This window comes from Homo sapiens, chromosome 5, assembly GCF_000001405.40.
Source record: "Homo sapiens chromosome 5, GRCh38.p14 Primary Assembly".
NCBI classification, from domain to species: Eukaryota; Metazoa; Chordata; class Mammalia; order Primates; family Hominidae; genus Homo; species Homo sapiens.
This window is the reverse complement of record NC_000005.10, coordinates 101612351-101636438: the sequence shown is the minus strand read 5'-3', so window position 1 is coordinate 101636438 and position 24088 is coordinate 101612351. Positions and strand designations below refer to the sequence as shown.

At 35.7% G+C, this 24088-nt stretch overlaps 1 long non-coding RNA gene across 3 annotated transcripts in view; it reads left to right on the top strand.

Annotated features, from left to right (window-relative positions):
* LOC105379102 (uncharacterized) overlaps nt 1-24088 on the top strand; it is a 328753-nt gene that overhangs the window by 217897 nt on the left and 86768 nt on the right. For all 3 annotated transcript variants that reach the window (XR_007058891.1, XR_948628.3, XR_001742829.2), the window contains one exon: nt 5230-5305. This is a non-coding gene — a long non-coding RNA (uncharacterized LOC105379102). The remainder of the gene's footprint in view (nt 1-5229; nt 5306-24088) is intronic.

The window sequence follows — 24088 nt, the reverse complement described above, 5'->3', positions numbered from 1 at the left end:
TATTTTTAGTAGAGACGGGGTCTCACCATGTTGGCCAGGCTAGTCTGGAACTCCTGACCTCAGGTGATCTGCCTGCCTTGGCCTCCCAAAGTGCTAGGATTACAGGTGTGAGCCACCATGCCTGGCCTATTTCTTTTAATTCTTAGCCCATAACAAACTATATGCTTACAATTTCTACATTCTAAATTTTATTCCAGAAAATGTATTATTACATTATATTTTCCTTTTTATCATTTTCCCATTTGTTTTGTAAGGAACATTAAATACATGTGAACAATAAAGTACATTTTGAGATTCTTTTATTTTTATTTTGTTTTTATTCTTCTGTTCAGGTATGTTTAATCAATTTTTATTTTTTTGTTTCAAAAATGACCCTTGCAATTTGTAACAATTTCCTCTATTTAACTTTTCTTAAGCTCTTCCTCACTCACCTTAATTGTTTTTCAATGCTATTTAATGACTTTTGCAATTTTTAAAATCTCTACTCTGAGATTTTTTTCTCATTTAGGCAAAGATTGTATTGCCTAAGATGTTCTAAAACTAAAAAGAACTCTATATTTTCCTGTCTTTCTTCTTGTAATATGTATTTTTCTTCTAACTTTTCTTCCTTTATCTTTATATTCAGAACCAGTTTTTATTTATTTTTGTAAAATTATTTCTAAATTTTACTCAACTTCAAAGAAAGGCTGACTTTCAAGTCTATTTATAATAAATTAATGTGTATTTGACTTAAACAAATAGATAAGCGGCCAACATTTAATAAGTGATTTTAAAATTGGACAACAGAGAAGACAGGACTGGTATCTTTAGAGTAGGGAAACAGACATGATAAACTACAGGTTCACCCAAGCTTTCTGTCTTTGGACATTCTCCAAAATACATCACACAATGAGTAAAGAAAAAACAGATTGATGTTTGAGGCTATTAAATTAAAATTTGAGAGGAAAAGTACATAAGAAAAGGCATGCCAAAGAATGAGAGAAGGAGAGAGAGCAGAGAAAGAGAGCCAGTAATATTCACAGGTTCATCCTTGAGTCTTTGGTCAGTTACTAAACTGCACATACACAGAGTAAGACTACAAGGTTTTGCAGAGATGAGGTCCATGGAGCCTATGAGCCAAATAAAAATTCCAGTGATAACACAGTGCTGTGGGACCTTAGAATCTGGCCATTGAGAGTGCAAAGATGCTTTTGAATACCCCTAGAGGTACTCAATAAAGCCTAAAAACAGATTTTAAGAGGATAAGTCTGTTTACCATATACTATTTTTTTTTTTTTTTTTTTGAGACAGAGTCTCGCTCACTTGCCCAGGCTGGAGTGCAGTGGCGCCGTCTCGGCTCACTGCAAGCTCTGCCTCCCGGGTTCACACAATTCTGCCTCAGCCACCCTAGTAGCTGGGACTACAGGTGCCCGCCACTACGCCTGGCTAATATTTTCCTATTTTTAGTAGAGACAGGGTTTCACCATTTTAGCCAAGATGGTCTCTATCTCCTGACCTCGTGATCCGCCTGTCTCGGCCTCCCAAAGTGCTGGGATTACAGGCGTGAGCCACCGTGCCCGGCCACCATATACTATTTTTTTAAACGAATAAAATTTGCCCCTCTTTAGAGAAAGCAGCAAAATCCAGAAACTCAACAATATAGTATTCACAGGGCCAACATGCAACAAAAAATACCAAATGGGTAAAGAAGCACAAACATATGAGTCATGACAAAAAAAAAACCAAAAAACAAATATGAATATATTCTGAGATAAGCCACATGCTGGATGATTAAACAAGAAGTTTAAAACTACTCTTATACATGAGTTTAAAAATACAAAACAAGATGAAAAGCTGTGAAACAGGTGAACAGATGCAATATCTCATTAAATATAATAGGAGTCTATGAGTCTATACTGATATAATTAATTAACTAATAAGTAATTACAAAGAAAGTCTCTTTCATAGAGTAGAAAAATAATGTATAAATGATAAAAATAGAGTAAGAACTTTTCAGGGTAGCATCCCCCATAATAATAATTGGTACAGGCAAACATAATCAATGGAAAATAAAATTAATGAGTGAAAATTGCAAGAGTACAGACTATTCACATGTTCTCAAAATGCCTCTCTATTAGATACTTATTTGTCAAAGGATTATACTAACTTTACAGTGGAGAAATCTTTCAGGTATCACCTAAATTGTGATTCACCCATAACATAAAATTAAATGAAGTTATTAAAAATGACTGTCCCTTTCTCTTTCTTTCTCTTTGTGTTTTTTTCTCTATATATATACATAAATATATATGCACATAAATACATATAGATCTCTTTATATATACACATAGATACATATGGGTGTCTATATATATGATATACATATTATCTCTCTTCTGTGTGTGTGTTTGTGTGTTTATGATATGATATGGGTTGGCTCTGTTTCCCCACCCAAATCTCATGTCAAATTGTAATCCTCATGTGTCAGAGGAGGGTCCTGGTGGGAGGTAGTTACATCATAAGACAGACTTCCCCCTTGCTGTTCTCATGATAGTGAGTGAGTTCTCATGAGATCTGGTTGTTTGAAAATGTGTGGCACTTGTCGCTTTGCTCTTTCTCTCTCCTGCTGCTATGTGAAGAAGGTGCCTTGCTTCCCTTTACCTTCTGTCGTGATTGTAAGTTTACTGAGGCCTCCCAGTCATGTTTCCTGTTAAGTCTGTGGAACTGAGAGTCAATTAAACCTCTTTTCTTTATAAATTACTCAGTCTCAAGTAGCTCTTTATAGCAGTGTCAGAACAGACTAATATAGAAAATTGGTACCAGAAGAATGGGGCACTGCTGTAAAGATACCTGAAAACGTGGAAGTGACTTTGGAACTGGGTAACAGACAGAGGTTGGAGTAGTTTGTAGGGCTCAGAAGAAGACAGTAAGATGTGGGAAAGGTGGGAACTTCCTAGAGACTTGTTGAATAGTTTTGACCAAAATTCTGATAGTGATATGACAGTAAAGTCCGGGCTGAGGTGGTTTCAGATGGAAATGAGGATCTTCTTGAGAACTGGAGCATAGGTCACTCTTGCTATGCTTTAGCAAAGAGACTGATGGCATTGTGCCCTTGCTCTAGGGATCTGTGGAACTTTGAACATGAGAGAGGTGATTTAGGGTATCTGGCAGAAGAAATTTCTAACCAGAAAAGCATTCAAGATTTAACCTGCCAGGTTCTCACAGCATACAGTCGTATGCATTCACAAAGAGATGGTCTGAAATTGGAATTTATGTTTAAGAGGGAAGCAGAGCATAACAATTTTGTAAATTTGCAGCCTGACTATGTGGTAGAAAATAAAATAACATTTTCTGTGGAGAAATTCAAGCTGGCTGGCTGCAAATATTTGAGTAAGTAAAGAGGAGCCAAGTGTTAATAGCTAAGACAATAAAGAAAATATCTCTTAAGTCATACCAGAGATCTTCACAGCAGCCCCTCCCATCACAGGCCTGGAGGCCTAGGAAGGAAAAATGGTTTCATGGGACAGGCTCAGGGTCCGACTACTCTGTGCAACCTTGGGACATGATGCTCTGTGTCCTAACCCCTCCAGCTTCAGCAATATCTAAAAAGGGTCAAGGTGTAGCTTGGGCCATTGCTTCAGAGCGTGCAAGCCCGAAGCCGTGGTGGCTTCTACAAGGTGTTCAGCCTGCACATGCACAGAAGACAAGAGTTGAGGTATGGAAACCTCTGCCTAGATTTCAGAGGATGTATGGAAATGAATGGATGTCAAGGCAGAAGTCTGCTGCAGGAGCAGAGCCCTCATAGAGAATTACTACTAGGCCAGTATAAGAGAAAAATAGGTTGTAGGAGCCCCCACACTGAGTCCCCACTGGGCACTACCTAGTGGAGCTGTGAGAAGAAGGCCACCATCCTCCAGACCCCAGAATGATAGATCCACTGATAGTTTGCACCATGCTTCTGGAGAAGCTGCAGGCCCTAAATGCCATCCTGTGAAAGCAGCTGCAAGGGCTGTATACTACAGAGCCACAGGGTTGGAGCTTCTCAAGGCTTTGGGAGCCCACTCCTTGCATCAGCATGCTCTGCATGTGAGACATGTAGTCAAAGAAGATTATTTTGGAGGTGTAGGATTTACTGACTGCTCTGCTGGGTTTTGTACTTGTATGGAGTCTGTAGCCCCTTGGTTTTGGCCAATTTATCCTTTTTGCAATGGGAGCATTTACCCAATGCCTATACCCACATTGTATCTTGGAAGTAACTCACTTGTTTATGATTTTACAGGCTTATATGTGGAAGGGACTTGTCTTGTCTCAAATGACACTTTGGATTTGGATTTTTGGGTTAATGCTGGAATGAGTTAAGACTTTGTGGGGACTGTTGGGAAGGCGTGGCTGTTTTGAACTTTGAGAAGGACATAAGATTTGGGAGGGGTTAGGGGTGGAATGAAATGCTTTGGTTCTGTGTCTCCACTCAAATCCAATCTTAAATTGTAATCCCCATATATCAAGGGAGGGGTCTAGTGAGAGGTGACTGAATCATGAGAGTGGACTTCCCCCACACTGTTCTCATAACAGTGAGTGACTTCTCATGAGATCTGGTGTTTGAATGTGTGTGACATCTCCAGCTTTGCGCTCTCTCTCTCCTGCCACCATGTTAAGAAGTCGCTTGCTTCCTCTTTGCCTTTCACCATGACTATGTTTCCCGAGGCCTTGCAGTCATGTTCCCAGTTAAGATTATGGAATGGACTAATATGATATATATCATGTACATCATATATTTTATATATATATATTATATGTATATAAATTAGGTAGAAAAGGGAAGAGAGAATATATATATATAGTCTCTGTATAGTATATATACAAAGCTACAGCATATATAAATACAATATATATGTATATATGCACATATTTATATACAAAGCTACAGTTTGCAATTGCGTAGTAATTTGTGTAATATAATTACCTACATATGTCATGGTTTTTATGTTGGTAAAAAGAAAGAAACAAATAAATATTGCCATAGTACTGAAAGTGATCACTTAGTACAGATTAGGCAAACTAAGACTTAAAGGCAAATCTGAAATTTGTCCTACTATTTTTGTAAATAAAGCTTTTGTAAATAAACTTGTATTAGTCACAGTCATTTAACTATAGTCTATGGCCACGGTGCACTACAACAGCAGACTTGAGTAGTTGCAAGAGATCTTATGCTACATAAACCTGAAAATATTACTATCTACCTTTTTGCAGAAAAAATATGTGGGCCACTGGCTTAGGAAGACTGCGTTTTCAGGGGAAATGACCCATGGGTGAGCGCTGTGGCACAGTAAGTACATAGTTTTGGTGGAGAGGAAACAATAAGCAAAGGGAGTGAGAAAATATTTTTAACACAACTTGAAAAGTTTATGGTTGCCCTGACATAGACTTTACCCTGAGATTCCCCTAAGTGAAATCAGTAGTGAGAAAATGCAAATAATCTAAACATCATTAGGGTATTCTTAAATTATTATTTAAAAGGTACATGCTATTACTGGATTTACAAATGAATCTTCTCCTTGACATCCTTTGTGTGAGAACATTCTGACTCATAAAACAAGCATTTCTGTTAATTTATTTAAAAGGTAATTGTGTTCCTTTTGGAAGAAAAACATACATACACATTTATGCATATGCCTGCCTGTGCAAACGTGTACACACACACACTCATATTCAAAATATAGATGTGCCAAATAATTGTTTAGGAGTTGACAGAATAGACAAGCAAATAAAAATTACTCAAAACAGTCTTCAAGTTCAGACCTGAAAATTCATGGAACATAAATATTATATCAAAGAAGACAATTTTGTAAGTCCTGCATGTCAAATATATACATATGAGGCTCTTTAAGAGAACACACACACACACACACACTCAACACATACACACAGACACACACACACACACAGAAAAAGAGAGAGAGAGAGAGAACTTTGAATAATACCGTTCCACAAAGCATATTAAAATACTAAGAAACATTTGAAAATTTGGTTAAAAGGCTGAGGTGAATCTGTGTACTTCTAGGGTTGTATAAAACATAACCATTAAGAATATGGTTACTTTATGTGTCTTTATATTAATAATAAGAACTTTGCATTCATCTTAATCAAGAGCCTAATACAATTTTTTGGAAAGAAATTTTTAAAAATATGAGTGTGCCACATATGTATGTGTATGTACAAAATTTACTGGGAAAAATACTTGTACAGACAGACTAGAGATGAGGCCAAGTCTGTTCTAGGCAAAATGGTAGGTGAACACACACATAGAAGATTAAGGACATTGAGAACCAGTTGTCATCATATAGCCATTTATTTTCTGCACCTAAGTGTATTCCTCTTATACTCCTTTACTTGGGTACACTTAAGTTTTGTTTTAATTTTGCTTGAAGCACTTTTTTTTTTTTTTGTGACGGAGTCTCGCTCTGTTGCCCAGGCTGGAGTGCAGTGGCGCAATCTCGGTCACTGCAAGCTCCACCTCCAGGGTTCACGCCATTCTCCTGCCTCAACCTCTGAAGTAGCTGGGACTACAGGTGCCCGCCACCACGCCCGGCTAATTTTTTTGTATTTTTTAGTGCAGACGGGGTTTCACCATGTTAGCCAGGATGGTCTTGATCTCCTGACCCCGTGATCCTCCCACCTCAGCCTCCCATTTTGTTTTTTTTTTCTTTTTGAGATGGAGTCTCGCTCTGTTGCCCAGGCTGGAGTGCAGTGGTACGATCTCGGCTCACTGCAAGCTCCGCCTCCCTGCAAGCTCCGCCTCCCGGGTTGAAGCACATTTTTAATGTACAAACATTTAATGATATAGAAGTGCTTTTGCACTTCACCTTATTACGTTACCTTATTAAGTGGATGTATTCCGGTTTTTGTAGGATAAACTGTTGGTCAAATTCTTATGAACACAGAAAATAAGTATTTACTTTTTATTTTTACGGGGTAGAAAGATATTATGACAAGGAATGGAAAGCCAAATACGGTAAATAAATGGCATCATCCTCTTGGTGATAAAGAACGAATTACCAAAGTTACTCACTTAGCAGATGTTTTTCATTCAAGGTTGGGCACTCCTGTAATTGGCGCCCTAGGTTGTGATCTCCCAGGGTGGAAAAGACAGATCACCAGACATAGCCAGCAAAGAGAAAGAGAGAGTTTCGTTTAGCTTGTGCACAAGGAAAGTCAGCACCGTGAAAGAAAAATGGACTGCTCCCCAAGGGTAGATTAGTTTTACAGGGCCCTTCTATAGGGAAGGGTTTCATCAGGGCATTTATAGAAGGAATTTCTCTAGTGCTTTTGCAGTGGTTTTACATGCCTCTTTATGCATCACATGTAACATTTTAAATCTCCACCCTTGGGAAGGGGTGATTATATGTTGAAGTTTAAGTCTAACTACACATATGGGGCCCCGAGGAAGTCGCTAGCCCCCTAAAGCAATAACTTGTGCTTAGCCGCTTCCTTTATCTTTTGTTGTGGAATGGCTGGAAGTTAGGAAAGCTACGGCTTGAATAAAGAGCTTTTGCTGTTTTCTCTAAATCACATAAAAATGGGAAACTAAGCAGCCTTTCTGTCTCATTCTGAAGCAGCAATGGCGATGGCAAACTATGACAAAATTGATGCAGAGAAAATAAGATCTTAGAGTTGGATAAAATGAGTAAGGATTATGTATCCTTTTAGAATGTGGATAATTACATTACGAAAAATTAAAGAATTCTTGGTTTAAAAATAACAAAACAACCAAGTCTTTTTTTTTTTTTACTCTCTTTAAATAAGCATTTATTTAACACGTTAAAAGAAAGACATACCAATGGATCAGAGACTTTTTCAGTCCTTTGTCTGAAACAAACAATTTGCCTTCTCACCAGGAAGAAAAACTTGCAAAATTTCCATATACAGTAATTGTGGTATATTGTACTCAATACTTTTTAAAAACTGTATTCAATCATCACCTATTTAATAGCATTTTCAGAGCTTCTCCTTCAAGATTATCTTGAGATAGCCTATTATATAGTACACGTACAGTAGCCATTTAAATGCATGTTATTACATGAACCTTTTTGTAAGAATGCTCTGACCTGTAGACAAAGGAGAGTATTTCCTAGGAAACTGAAGCAAGCAATGTGGTCTGGTGTTGTACAATGCAGTTTTTTTTTGTTTGTTTTTTTAAATTTTATAGGTGTATCTCACTCACTGAAAGATTGGTACAAAACCAAATATAGACACGTTCTGTGGTACAATGCAAATACCCTTGAAATTTAAAGATAAGCCCAAAGATCTTAAAGACTGTTTGATATAGTCAAAATACACTTGATATGGTTGGATTTGTGTCCCTGCCCAAATCTCATGTCAAATTGGAGGAGAGGCCTGGTCTGAGGTGACTGGAACATGGGGGCAGTTCCCTCATGCTGTTCTTGTGACAGTGAGTGAGTTCTCACGAGATCTGGTGGTTTAAAAGTGTGTGGCACTTCCCCCTTCTCTCTCTCTTCCTCCTTCTCCACCGTGGTAAGACTTGCTTGCTTCCCCTCCACCTTCAGCCATGATTTTAAGTTTCCTGAGGCCTCCCAGCCATGCTTTCTATTAAGCCTGCAGAACTGTGAGTCAATTAAACTTCTTTTCTTCATAAATTACTCAGTCTCAGGTAGTTCTCAATTTCAGCAAGATGTCTGAGAGCCTCAATTGGTTTGATTAATTAATAGTGAGATTCCCATTAAGGAAGTAATTTATACAGAATGTGGACCTTCAATTGGTAGAGATATCACAGCATATAATTAACTAAATTTGCAGTTGGAATCAAATAGTTTAACATATTTTTCTAATGTTCATGACTCTAGGTGTCTTGTTTCTTTGTTTACTTAAAGACTTGAAACTTCTACATTCACTTTTTATAGCTATGATTGTTTTTTCATTGTTTCCTAATTGCAACCAAGGGTCATTATTCTTTAGCTCAGAATTCCATAGTCTTCTTTCAAAATTCAGCATGAGTAAACAGTTCTTATTTATGTTTCTTTTTCCTCTTTTTTGAAAAATAATGAGTTGCTTATGTTTTTGACATTTTGTGTCTATTTTCTGTCTTAATTTACTTTGTATTATTTTTGAAATGCAAATTTCTGGATTTTGAAAATAGCAGATTCCTAGATTTTTCCAAAGCTTCAAAATATTTTCTTATTTGTAATATAAAATGTGTTTAATTTTGACTTTTTTCCTTAATTTGTTTTATAGACATAGAGATGGCACTCACATCTCTTTTTCTACACAAAGATCCTTTCAGATATGTTAAAGCACAGGTCGAAGAAAGGTATATATTTGTAATTATAGACTAAACAAGTAATCAGGGCAAGAAACAAAATTGCTAATATCTAAAACCATTTGTTACAGTGTATACAGTTAATATTAATGTGAATATCACTACTCTCAAGGTAGGCAAAAAGCTTGTGTGGGGAAAGGCTTGCTTTACAAGCTAAAGCTGTGCACTTTCTGATTGACTGGAAGTAGTCATCAATGGCTCAATTGTCATTTAACAAATGTTTAAAATTCTAAAAATAAACAGAAAACCTAGGGTAGAAGCAGTGATTGTTTGTAATGCTTGCAGAACATTACTTCCTTAAATGTTAGGCCATTTTTGCTCATTAATTCCTTACTTGGCTAACCTTCCTGCTGTGAACAACTTACTATGAAAAGCAGGCTCTTGCATGACACAGCTGGAGACCAAGCATAACAGGATTTCAGAACCCAAAACATTCTAAAATTTCCTGTGATTTCCGGACACACTTACCTACAAGTGCTAAGGCTTCTATTGTTTACCATTTTATGTTCATGTGGTTTCTGATTAATTATACTACTTGAAATGCTTCTTGAAAAACATAATTGTGAAAATATATGTGGAAAGTATCAGATTTTTTTTTTCTGCAGAATTTAACGGATAGGGTTGAGTTTCATTGTATAGGTAGATTTGGGGAAACATATCTGTTTATTTTTTGAAGGTAAGATAATTAATCTGTCACCATAATCAATTTAATAAATTACTTTCTGAGATACTGAAAATTGTATTAAGGACGCAGGCCTTTTCTTTATGGGTTAAGGTTTATTTACAAGGCAAGGTTGTTAGATTAGATTACCTTTGAGTCAGTTTTCAATTATAAAATTGCATGATTCTAAAAGGTAATGTTTGACATTATTCTCATCCATAAATAACAAATATTGAAGTCATGTCTTTTTAAAAATTTTCTCTCTTTCTGTATAGAAACTTGCTGGATGCAAGTACAATGTCAACTGTAGAATATTCACATAGGGAAAACCTATAGCAAGTTTTTGAAGTGGTGTGATACTTTGCACAATACTAAACTATTAGGAAGTTCAAACATAAAAGTATATTCAGATCAAATATGTAAAGAACTTGTCACCACTCATTTTCTTAAAACAAAGAAAGGCTGGAAAATGGAAAATCAGTGAACTAAAGAGAATTAAAGTCAAAGAACAAACCGCCATCTGAAAATCTGCAAAAAGACACAGAGGGACACAGGAATCAAGATCTGCTTATTTAGAGCAAAAGCTGCTGGAGATACAAATTGAAAAAAGAAAAAAAAATACTCCTTATTGTGATGAATTGCTGTGTGCACCCACACTTTCCTGAGCCCCTTTTCAGGTGTCCTTTAAGTTCTTCTTGTGGCCTACCAGGAGGATGAGAAAAATAGACAACTATGCTATTCAATTTGGATGTTTCAACATTACTTTGTCAGTAATGATTAGAGAAAGCAGGCCAAAAAATCAGTAACAACATGGTTGCTGACCCTTAATTTAATTGGTGTTGCTAAAATACTGATTCTAACAACAACAGAAACCATATTCTTGTCAAAATCACAAGGAAAATGTATGGTGAAATACTATATTCTTTACCATAAAACACAGTTTGACAAAATGACTAGAAATAATACAAAGTATATTCTCAGATCAAAGTCAAATTAAGCTAGAAATTGGTAACAGAATATTGGAAAACCCTTAAATACTTAGACATTAAATAAAACATTTCTAAATGACTATTGTTTAAAGAAGAAATCTGCAGTTGCACTTTTCTTTTTCTCTTTTTGTGGAGAACGGGGATTTGCTATGTTGCCCAGGCAGGTCTCAAACTCCTGGGTTCAAATTACCCTCCTGTCTCTGCCTTCCTAAGTGCTGATATTACAGTAATGATCCACCATGCCTGGTCAGAAATATGAAAAGTAATTTTAAATATTTTTAACTAAATCAATATGAAAATAGAACTCATCAAAATTTTTGTTATTCAGCTAAAACTGTAGTTAGAGGGATATTTATATCATTAAATTTATATGTTTTAAAGTAAGGAATATCTAAAATTAGTAACCTTAGCTTCTACCTTAGGAAAATAGAGAGAAAAGAGAAATAGTGCTAGTAGAAATAATAAAACTAGAGCAGATGTTGACAGAGTAAAACAGGAAAATAATAGAGAAAATCAACAAAACCAAAAGCTAGTTCTTCAAAAAGATCAATAAGATTGATCAACCTATATCAAGGTAACCAAATAAAAAGAGAGATTACACAGGTTACCAGTATCAGAAATGAAAAGGGAATCATCAGTAATGTCATCAACAGACATTGAAAGGATAATAAGTAAATAATACAAACAACTCTATACTCACAAATTCCATAATGTAGATGAAATGGTCCAGATCTTTGAAAGATGCAAACTACCAACTGACTCAAAGAGAAATAGGGTAACCTGAATAGTCTTATGTCTATAAAAGAAATTGAATCAGTAATTAATCTTCCAAACAAGAAAGTACTGGGCTAAAATGGTAAATTCTATCAAAGTGTTAAGGACGAAGTAATACTAATTCTCCTCAATGTATTTCAGGTAATGGAAATAGAAAGAAGACTCCCTAATTAATTTTATGAGGCCAAAATTACCCTAATATGAAAACCACATAAAGTTATCATAGAAAAAGGAAACTATAGATCAATATGTCTTATGACCGCAATTGCAAAAATACTCGGCAAGTATTTAAAAATCAATTTGGTAATATATAAAAAGGAAAATGCATGCTGACCAATTTGGCTTCACAAAAGAAATGCAAGGCTGATTTAACATTCAAAGATCAGGAATGCATTTCATCATATTAGTAGACTGAATAAGAATATATATATATGTGTATATATGTTTATAATATTAATGGATTCAGAAAAAAAGTAACACAATTTAAAACATATTTATGGTAAAACTCACCAAAAATCCCTACAAAATAGAAGGGAAATTTCTTAATCCAGTAAATCATAAATATGAAAATTCTCCAGCTAACATCATACTTAATGGTGACTAAACATAGTCACTTTCTAAGATTGTGAAGAAAGCAAGCATGTCCTTTCTTATAAGAAAAATTAATAAAAAAATGTAAAGACTGGAAAGAAAGAAATAAAAATGCCTTTATTCACAAATGACATGCTATTGTTTGTACAAAACTTCAAAGAACCCACCCACACACAAAGAAATCCTGAAACTTTTAATCAAGTAGAACAACATCACAGGATATAAGGTTATTAGACAAAAATAAATTGCTTTTATATATGTAAGGAGTACAAATTTGGAATTTGATATTACTTAAAAATATTACTATATACCAGAAATTTAGATAATTAAATATAAATTTTAAAATATATGCAGGATTTGTATGGGAATAACTATAAAAGAGTGATGAATAAATCAAAGAAGAGCTAAGTAAATGAAGAGATAATTTATATTCATGGATTGGAAGACTCGCTATTGTGAAGATTTCAGTGATTTCTAACCTGATTGATAGATTTAATACAATCTCAAACAAAAGCCCAGCAACTGATTTTATGTTTAGTGACTTACAGATTCTATAGTTTAAATATAAAGGCAAAGGAAATATATTATCCAACAAAATATTGAAGAAGCATAAGGAAATAAACAAAAAAGACAACAACAAAGTTGAAGGAATTGCACTATGTTATTTCAAGACTTGGTAAATGCTTCAGTAATCAAGGGAGTTTGATATTGATGTAAGAATAGATATATAGATCAGTGAAACATAGAGAGCCAAAACCAACAGAAATATAATCTACTAATTTTTAACATAGGTGCAAATACACTTCAATGAAAAATGGGTACTTTTTGGTTCAACAAATGGAGTTGAAGCAATTGGGCATTTACATGCAAAAAAATGAACTTAGATGACAACTTTGCAGCTTATGCAAATATTAACTCAAAAGTGCATTATAAACCTAAATGTAAAATGCAAAACTAAAACATCTAAAAGAAAACAAGCATACGGGTAAAATCTATATGACGTTGGTTTTTTGGATTAGATTTTTAGATACGATTAAGAGTACTATCCTTAAATAAAAATGATAAGCTAGGCTTTATTAGAATTAATACCCTTTGCTCTGACACGATCAAGTGAATAGAAACAAAAGCCCCAGACCAGGAGGAAATATTTCTAAATTATATATTTGATAGAAGACTTATATCCAAAATGAACAAAGTACCCTTTATCACAAAACATACAACCTAGTTTAAAAATTAATCAAGTATATAAGCACATAACTCACCAAGGAAGATTTTTTAGATGGCAAACAAACATATGAAAAGATGCTCAACCTTGTTTGTTATTAGAGAAATGCAAATTAGAACAACGAGACACTACAACATAGGTAGTACAATGCTTAGAATTAAATTAACAAAAACTTGAAAAACTAATAGCTGGTGAGAACGTGGTGCAACAGAAACTTTCATTTGTTGCTAGGAGGAATGCAAAAGGTGTAACCACTTCAAAAATCGGTTTCTTACAAAGCTAAATGTAGTCTTGCCATACAATCCAGCAATCACCATCCTAAAAAATTTTCCAAACTCACTGGATAAACTATGTTCACACACAGTCTTGCACAAGAATTCATTTAAAGAAGATTTATTAACAATTGCCAAAATCTTCAGACAAGGAAGATGTCCTTCAAAAGATTAATGCATGATTAAATTGTTAATTAAATCCACAGAATGGAATACCGTTGGGTGATAAAAAGGACTGAGTTAACAAGTTTGTATGCAAAAGCAAACAGAAAAACCCAATGATGGTACATTTTAAACCACAAAATAAATAAATATTGGATTATACCCCAAATTATATAATCCATATCCATAAGTCTATACTGACATAATTGGAAAATAAGTAAATAGAGAAAAAAGACAAATTTTCCACACAAAATTGAATCAATTTATGTAGATACTCCCCCCTTAAGTAGGTAGACTCTCACATCTCACTCTTTAAGTATAAACTGCTCATACTGACTTCTTTCCAAAAAGTACATTATTAAACAGGGGAAAGAGATTTAGTGAATGAGTAATTTTACAGTGGAGAATACGCTCAGCCAGGTGATCAAGGTAAGCATCAATAGTGGTAAATCATATTGATTGTATGTACCCTAGACATGATGTGGTAAGAATGGCATCTTACTTCTGTGGTCTTCCTCCTAAAAAAAACATAACTCCAGTGGGATCATGAAGGAAGGAAGCATCAGGCAAATTTTGGTTAAGAGACATTCTACAAAATATCTAACCAATACTCCTCAAATTATCAAGGACATCAAAACAAGGAGAGTCTAAGAAACTGTCAGTCTAGAGAAATGTCAGGAGATATCACAACTAAATGTAATGTAACATCCTGGATGGAATCCTGGAACAGCAAAACAACGAGATAAAAACTAAAGAAATAAGAACAAAGTCTGGACTTTAGTTAATAATAATCAATTAATATTGTTTCCTTCACTGTGATAGATACACCATATTAATTCACATTAATAATAGAGTAGACTAGATGTGCTGTATATAGTGATTCTCAGTCTACATTCTTAAGCTTTCTGTAAGTCTAAACTATTCTAATTTTCTTAAATTAATTTAAAAAGAGTCTATTTTGCCATTTAAAAAGTATATTAAAGTCTAGCCATTAAAATATCTTTTTGGATATTTTCTTGCAAATAATGAAATTAATTGCTGAAAAAAAACTGGTACATCTACAGCAAGGAATAAAAAGGCACAAATTACCACACACACACAAATTGAATGAATCACCGGGAAATTATGCTGATTGAAATATAGAATAAATTGTTTGTTACCAGGGATCACAGAAGGGTGTGTGTGGCTGTAAAAGAGCAACACAAGAAACCAGTCAGGAAATTGTTCTGAATCTTGACTCTGTTAATATCCATACTCCGGTTGTAAAATTGTAGTATAGATTTGTAAGCTGTTACCATTGTGGGGAACTAGATGATAGGTCAATGGGATGTTTTTGTAGTATTTTTTACAACTGCATGTGTATCCACAATTACTCTATATAAAAATAAAAATTGTATTGAAAAAAACCGTATAAAATATACAATAGAGTTACTAAATGTTCAGAACAAACTAAAGCTACAGAACCTAAGTGAATTGCAAGTCAGTGGCATAACTACTATAAGAAAATAATTATTCCCAGTACATTTATGCTGTATGCACTAAATTTGTGGGATATAGGTATATATGGAGGTATGAAAACAATCCTCTGATTGCTTCCTTTTTTTTTTCAATGAAACAGAAGGCAAGGAGATCAGTTGAGGATGAGGGTCAGTGTGAATGTGTTGGAGCTGAATTGGGAAGAAGTAAGAGTGAGTGGACCATAGAAATGAGATGTGATTTCTGTATAGCACTAGAATCACACTTGAAGTGAGTAGAGATGTATTTAAAGAGATGAAGATATAAGATGAGGTTAGCAGTTGTGTGTTTTTCTCAAGTAAGGACCACTTGAAGATCGGTGTTCTAGGTAGACAATTGGCTTAAAGCAGGATAGGGTTTGCCAGGCTAGTATCACAAACGAAAAAATCATATGTCTGGCAGTTGAGGTTGTATGCAAGAGAATAGTGATAACGATGGACTGCGAAACTTAAGGTGGATAGTGAGGGTAACATGAAATTAAGAGTATTGGCAGTGAAAAGGTCATTCTACTCAATGAATAACAGGATGAAGCTGGGTCCTGAAGTGAATCCCCATCTGCTGACCGTAGAACCTGAGAAATCAGCAACTTAGCTATCATCCTCCTGTGTGTACAGTAGTCTTCCTAAAGCCTCCTTGAGGCATGGTACTGAGCCTTTGGCATGCCTTATGTTCTGAAGTATTTACAAGTGGTAGCTTACGTTTACAAGCTACTGAGATTATTAATTTTTGTTCATTCACAGGACAAAACTTCTTGGTGGTTTTTAAAATTTTTAAAAAGTCTGTGTATAAAAATAGCCCAAAAGACCATTATATGGATTCCTTCTAAGAGAAGACAATATTATATGTATCATCAGATATTTCCTAGAGAGTCTATCTACAAAATGTGAATAGCATATATTCATCATTCTAGATTCGGTAATAATAAGTACCTAGAGGTAAATGGATGAAAATAACTTCTGCATGGGCTAGCTAAGATGCAATTCTATAGCACATTTGTATACAACAAAGCTAAATATTAGAATACAAGTTATTATCTTTTTTTTGCAGCTATACCAGCTGTGCCACTTGCTTTAGAAGAGGATTAGGAAGACTGAAAGACCTAATTGACTCTTACTAGAGATTGGAACAGAAATGAGCAGTTTACAGTGAAATATATCTATAAGCAGTGCTCTGAATAGGCCACTTCTTTCTGTATATTTTAAAAATATTTGATGTTTTTAAAATGCCAACATCACTCGTTTTCAAAATGAGTCATTTTCCTTTTTATTATTTTTATACAATACCTACTCTGTGTAGAGTATTGATCTATCTGTAAAATATGATGTGGTGACAGAAAAAAAATACAGCATTTACTCACTGGCATGTAGGAGTTTTATCTACTATAGGATAAAGGTGCATGCTTTAGTGAATATATATCTATGTTTATTTTAGCAAACATTTAGAATATGTATAATAAGCATTGTGTTAATTGCTAGAAATTAAAAAAAGGATACATTTATCCATGATTTGTTTAGCAATAAAAAAATTAAATTCATGATGTACGTGGTGTTGCTCTAGGTGCTAGTAAATTAGAAGTGAACAAGGTTGGCACATTTCTATTTATAAAGAGATTATGTTCTGGAGCATAAATAAGTTTATAAACAAATTATGGAGATTATTTTTAAGCATTATAAGGGAAGATAGGAAAGAAAACAAGAAAATATTAAGAAGTTTAGGAAAGTAGTTATTTTGTTTCAGGTAGAGGTGGGTGAAGGTGAGGTGAGAATCATGTCATTAGTTGATTGCTGTGTATGTCTCAGATTTTGGCACTTTTGCAGTTTAAGATGGCTATGTGAATGATTAACAGTGAAGAATTCATAAATCTGTAATGAAAATTATGTGTCAAAACAAGTAATAATGATTGATCCAATTTTGCACATCAGGAGTCCAAAGAGAAAGAAGGAGAAAAAGAGAATGAATAAGAGATCTGTCTATTCTATGTTCTTTCCTTCTTTTATATTTCTTTGAAGTTGATTGATTCCTTTATATTAGGTTCCATTTTAGTTGAGATGTTTACAAATTTATTTAATCCCAGATATTTTTAAAATAAAAATTGATGGATATTCTTGCTTCCTCAAAAAAAAAAAAAAAAAACACTCACATTTCTATTATCTCAAGCCCTTAAACTATTATTGTCATGTATTTTGGTTCTCACTCATTTCAACTCCAAAATATTTATTCCTCTTATTTGCTATAGTCACTTGTTTAAATATACCTGAGTATATTTTTGTCTTTTCATTTTTTATGTAGCAAATCTTCCAGCTGTGATTTTTTTTTCTCTTAAAAGGAAAACATTTAGGAGATTCTCTATTGATGTTCTGTTCTATTGATTTTAGACTCTCTCTCTATATATATATCTCTCTTCTTAAATGCTTCCTATTGATCTATGTACCCATCTATTATTTTTATTAATTATAATATTTCCAGTTTAATAAATAAGAAACAATAGTTATATTACATACATGTTATGGAGTAAAGAATTAACTCAGCAGGCCTGGTTTGTCCAAACTTTGCACATTCCAAACATGGACAGGGAACCAGTAAGCCCTTGGAATATCCTGCCTGTGAAGAGTGTGTTTGTTTACCTGAGTCCTCGAGCCACACCATATGACTTATGCTAACCATGTGATTTATGGTATGGTCCTTGGGCCATGTAGTATCAGCTTGACCTCCAGAAAGGATGGAAACTAAAGGTCAGCCACTCATCTAGTCAGCCATGCCTATGTGACAAACCCCCAGTAAAAATGTCTGGGCCAGGTGCGGTGACTCATGCCTGTAATCCCAGCACTTTGGGAGGCTGAGGCAGGCAGATCACGAGGCCAGGAGATCGAGACCATCCTGGCTAACACGGTGAAACCCTGTCTCTACTAAAAATACAAAAAGTTAGCCAGGCATGGTGGCATGCGCCTGTAGTCCCAGCTACTCGGGAGGCTGAGGGCAGGAGAATTGCTTGAACCCGGGAGGTGGAGGTTGCAGTGAGCCGAGATCGCACCACTGCACTCCAGCCTGGGTGACAGAGCAAGACTCCGTCTTAAAAAAAAAAAAAAAAAAAAAAATCCCTGGACACTGGGCCTCAAATAATCTTCCCTTATTGGCGAATACTCCTTTCATGTCATCATCATTTTGATGGGAGAATGAAACATTTTCTATATTTTTTCATTGGATGAAGACAATCAGAAGCTTGTGTCTGGTCTTTCCTGCCCTATGTGACTTTCCCATTGCTGACTTTAGTCTGTGTCTTTTCACTGTAATAAAACATAATTGTGATTATAACTATTTTTCTGAGTTCAGAGAATTCTTCTAACAAGTCAATGAACTGCGGGTGGCCTTGAGGATGCCTAAACACATAGGACATATGATAATTTTTTCTTCTAGGCTGAACCAGCATAAAGAAATGCACTCTAGGTTCAGACTCATAAAAATCATAAATATTTGTCAATATTAAGCTTTGCTAATAATTTCAAAATACAGATAGTAAAGCTGCTGACACAAAGCATGTCTAAAAAATCACACATAGTTATCCAGGTCTTTTTTTTTTTTCTTCTCTTCTTTGGCACCAGCAATCCGGTCCACAACAATAGGTGAGATTACAAAGTGAGAAACCGCTAATAACTTCAAAGGAGAGGATTCATTTATGAAATTTCTTCATTTTATACTCCAGATCATGTGACATTTTCCAGGGAGCTATGCCTCAGAAGCCAAAGATTTTATTTATTATACATAATCTTTAGCCAAATACATCCTCCTAAGACCATTTCAGAAATAAGGACTGTTGCTCCTAGAAAATATCACTAATCTCTTTATGAGAAGAAGGTTAGATTGGGTTACCTTCTTTCTTTGTTTTTCCTCTGGTTAAAGAGATTAAATAGACATAAGGCAACTGATTAATAACCTTGTTTCCCAAAATAGATTCTGTATGAACTGTGATAATATTTAAGTTGGACAATAATTTATATCTAAACATGACAGTAGATCAGAACTTGTTCTCTTTTCTAAGTTCCCTGGGATCTCTCATGATTTTTGAAACAAAGTTTACTGTTAATATTTTATTCTTAGTGTTAATAATAATTATTATTATTTTTCCATTTCTGTTAAAACCCTTTTCACCAACCCTCCACTCTGTTTTGTCAGATAAACTAACACATTCTTTTTAACCAGCTTCTTTCATAGAGTCATATACTTTATTATATTAATTAGCTATTGCTGTGTAACAACTTACTACAAAACCTAGTGGCTCAAAACCACAATAAACATTTATTATCTCTCACAGTGTTTGTGGAGAGTAATGTTTCAGTAGCTTTGCTGAGAAGTCATGTCTAATCCCTTCTGATAAGGTTGTAATTAAAATGTCCACAGGGATGTCAGTTTGAATATTTGGGGATAGAAGATCCACTTCCAAGGTGGCTCATTCACGGGCAGGCAAGTTGGTGCTAGCAAGTTGGCAAAATGTCTCAATTTTTCCCACAGGCCTTTTCATAGAGCTGTTTGGATATCTTCACAACATAGCAGCCTGCCTTCTTCAGAACAAGCAATTTGAGATAGAAAGTGCCAAGCAAAAAGTATACCTAATTTATGACCTAGTCTCAGAAGTCACATAATACCTTGGCCATGTATTATTTTTAGTCCCGAAATCTAGCAACCAACAGTCAAGGGATGGGAAATTTGGCTTTACATTTTGAAGGTAATAGTGTCATATAATTAGTGGACATATTTTAAGACTAACACATTTAATGTTGAGAATAACCTTCAACATAGCACAAATTCATTACAACAACTAGAATTTTTTCCCAGGTCTGTTTCATCAAAAGGTTATTACCATTATGCTCAGGGATGATATTTGAAACATTTGGCAATGAAATCACAAAAGGACTGAACAATCAGTATAGAAGGCAGCTCAGCCAGGATGGTGTTCTGCACTTTCACTATGCCCAGCCTTGCTTTGCTGTTTGTAGGTTTCTATAAAATTTGGATAGTGTCTTAATCTTTACTGGGAAAGCCTTACTTATTATCTCTTACAAGTTTGCCTTACCTCTTTTTTTGAAACTTCAATTAGATTTTCTCACTTTGCCCTCTGTATCTTTTACCTTCTTATTGTATGCACATGTGTTTATCTATCTGGGGTAACTTTTAGATAACGGTTTTTTCAGTCTATCTTCTTCTTAATTTTCTCTTCAATAGTAAATATTAATAATACTTTGTTAGAAAGCATACAGAAAGCTTAAATTTCCACTGCCGTATTTTTATATCTAGAAGTTTTTCTTGATTCTCATTTTTCAATGTAGTTTTTCCTTTCATATTTAAGCTCTTTCATTTTTATGAAATACATTAGTTTTTACTCTATATCTGATAATTTCTGTGTTTGAATGGTTAGATTTAAAAAAAATTTCTGCCAACTCTTGCTTCTGGTACTGTAATTTCTTGTGCATTTACCAAGTTGCCATTTACGGGTTTTACTGGCAAGAAAAATACTAGTATGTTTTGTGAAAAGATCATATATGCAAAATGAACCCCAAATGTGGAAGGAGCCAAGAAACCAAAAAATGAGATAGATAAATCTATTTTGGTGGTAGAGGGTAATTCACTGGGGAACTTACAGGCAGAGGCATAGTACTGGATGGCAGCAAAACAGGTAGATCTCTGTACCATTACTCCCCAGACCCAGGACTTGCATACCATAGAGAAAGAGGGTACATGCTCTATGGAGAAAATTAACAGCAAGCCTCCAGAACAGGCAAGAATGCTGTATGTGTTACAGCCCCTAATTTGTGCAATAACATCAAGATTGATTTGATGTAAGGACAAGATTTATGGTAAGTACATGTTCTTACACTAAGGATGGTAAATAAAGTCGAAATTAGAAGGCATTCCCAGGACTGAAATTAATCAAAAGGCTTTGGTCTCCACATTCTACTCCTCTAATTTGGTTCTGAAAATCTCACATACCCACCTCTTCTGCAATGTTCCCTGAGCCTCTAGTGGGGAGGCCAACGTGGGTGACAAGCTGCTCCAATTTGCTTTCTACTTAAAAGCAGAGGTGACAGCAACAATACAGACAACAGCAGACAATGACACTTACGGCAAATATAAAACACAGAATCAATGATGCCTTTTGCCACCATGTTCCCCAGGATCCAAATCAAGAGGTATAGAGGAGAACAGCAATATGAATAGAAAACTATGGGCAGAAATACAAGGGATTGGTAGGTACTTGGCGAGGCAGCTCTTCATCATCAAGCAAAATGATTGTGATAGCTTCATCTTAGTCAGGACATAGGCAGCCAGAGGAGTATGTGCTGGGCATGCATGCCAAACATGTTGCCTGAGGGGCAAAGGTGCCTGTGGCATTATCTGTAAGGTTACAAGGGTGGCAGAGGACCATGTCAAATGGGCAACTAGAGAGTCTTTTAAAAGGGGCTATATTCCAGTGTGTTGGTACATGGAACATCTTGGTTCAGACACCCACAGAATCAACAGAGACCACTTTAGTTAGCCAGAGAATTCCTTGCTTTGCGATAATTAATACCCTATTTAACCTGGGAGAAGTTGTCAGTCCAACCCCCATTTAGGTGTTCCTTCCCATGGTTCAAGGTCTTGGGGAGTCCTGAATAACATTTGTCATTGGCCTTTTATTAGTTCCAGTAGAAAGGCATCTGGGTGAACTTTTTTTACAATTATGGTTAATAGACCCTTCTCCACAATGGTCCCATGTCATTGGTATGGTGCCACCCCCATGTTCATTTCAATCGAATGAAGGTTCCTAATGGCTTGAGACAAAAACTTTGCCCACCCATGCAAAGTATTAGATTGTAATGTGTTTGCAATTGGGCCTTCAAAATGTTATTTTTTCTTTCAATCAATCCTGCCATTTGGAGATTATGTGGCAAGTGAAATCTCCAGTATATATCTTTTTCATGTGCCCAGTCTTGGGTATCATGTCCATTGAAATGTGTGCCTTGATTGCTGAGGATATCCATACATGACACTGGGTTGCTACAAGCCCTTAATGGTAGCTGTTTGGTTTGTCCTTTTGCAAGAGAAGGCCTGCAACATTTTCATGGCAGTATCAACGCATTATAGTGCATACTTTTATCCTAAGCTTACTGATGGGTTTGATATAGTCTCTTTGCCAGTCTCTCATGAAGGCAGCTCTTAAATATGTGTTCTGGTGTGTGTTTGTGATGTTGCAGGGGCACATATAGGAGCAAACTAAGCAGTTGGCTATTGCTGCCACTAAATCTGTAAAGTGGAGGGGCACTCCTACTCTTCTTGCTATTTGCCAGATCAATCATGCACCAATGCCCACTATGTTTGTGTACCAAATCAGCTAGCTCAGATGATTTGGAGAGAGGTAGTGTTCTATTTTTTTTTTTTTTTTTTTTTTTTTTTTTTTTTTTTTTGAGATGGACTCTGGCTCTGTCACCAGGCTGGAGTGCAGAAGCACGATATAGGCTCACTGCAACCTCTGCCTCCCAGATTCAAGCGATTCTCCTGCCTCAGCCTCCTGAGTAGCTGGGATTTCAGGTGCGCGCCACCACACCCAGCTAATTTTTGTACTTTTAGTAGAGATGGGGTTTCACCATGTTGGCCAGGATGGTCTTGATCTCTTGACCTCGTGATCCACTCACCTTGACCTCCCAAAGTGCTGGGATTACAGGTGTGAGCCACTGCACCCAGCCGGTAGTGGTCTAATTTTTGCTAAGGTATCTCCTTCATATTACTGGGAGGTGAATCTGACCAGTATGTTAAAATATGATACACAATCAGCAGTGGGTTCTTGTAGCCTCTCCCAAATGTCTTTCCAAATGGCAGCTCTCCATCAGGGATTTTTAAGCACATATCAATCATCTTGAGTCCACTGGGCAAGCCAAGCTGTAAGACCCTTAAATACTGCCCAACTGGCTGTACAGAAAACTGTAGGCCATTGTGTATGGGTACAAACAGACCATACAGTTCAGAGTTCTGCCCATTAACTGCTCTGTTGCATTGCCATTTCAAACAATATAGTATCTGTCTGTGGTTGGCCAGCTACTGCCATCCATATACCAGGATTATCTCAGCTCAACCCATCTGAGAATTATATGTTTACAAGAATAGAGGCTGTGCCTTTATATTTTATTAAAGGTATCTCCTGTGGGGTTTCCACAGTAGAAGCAGCACTGGTCTCATAGAGTACTGGCCCTAAGATAGCATGCAGTTCATCTCTCAAGGGACTCATGGAGAGGGTGCTATGTTGTTGCATGTATGCATGACACCCTTGTAAAGTGGAGGCCTAGGGAATACCCAGTATAGGCCTGATAAACAAACCTTTTATCCAGCCTTTAATAGGGAGGCCTGTTCTCACTATTACGAGCAAAACATCAGTTATGGTTTCAACTTGCAGCAAAACTTGTATAGTCCCAGGACCCATGGTAGGTTTAAGCACTCGTCCATAGTAGTGAAGGGTGAACTGCTTTCCTATGCTGGACTTGCCAGAGGTCCCAACTGATTTCCTCAGAGATTATGATCCCATCCAAAGACATTGGTATCCCAGGAAGAGGGAAACCTAAA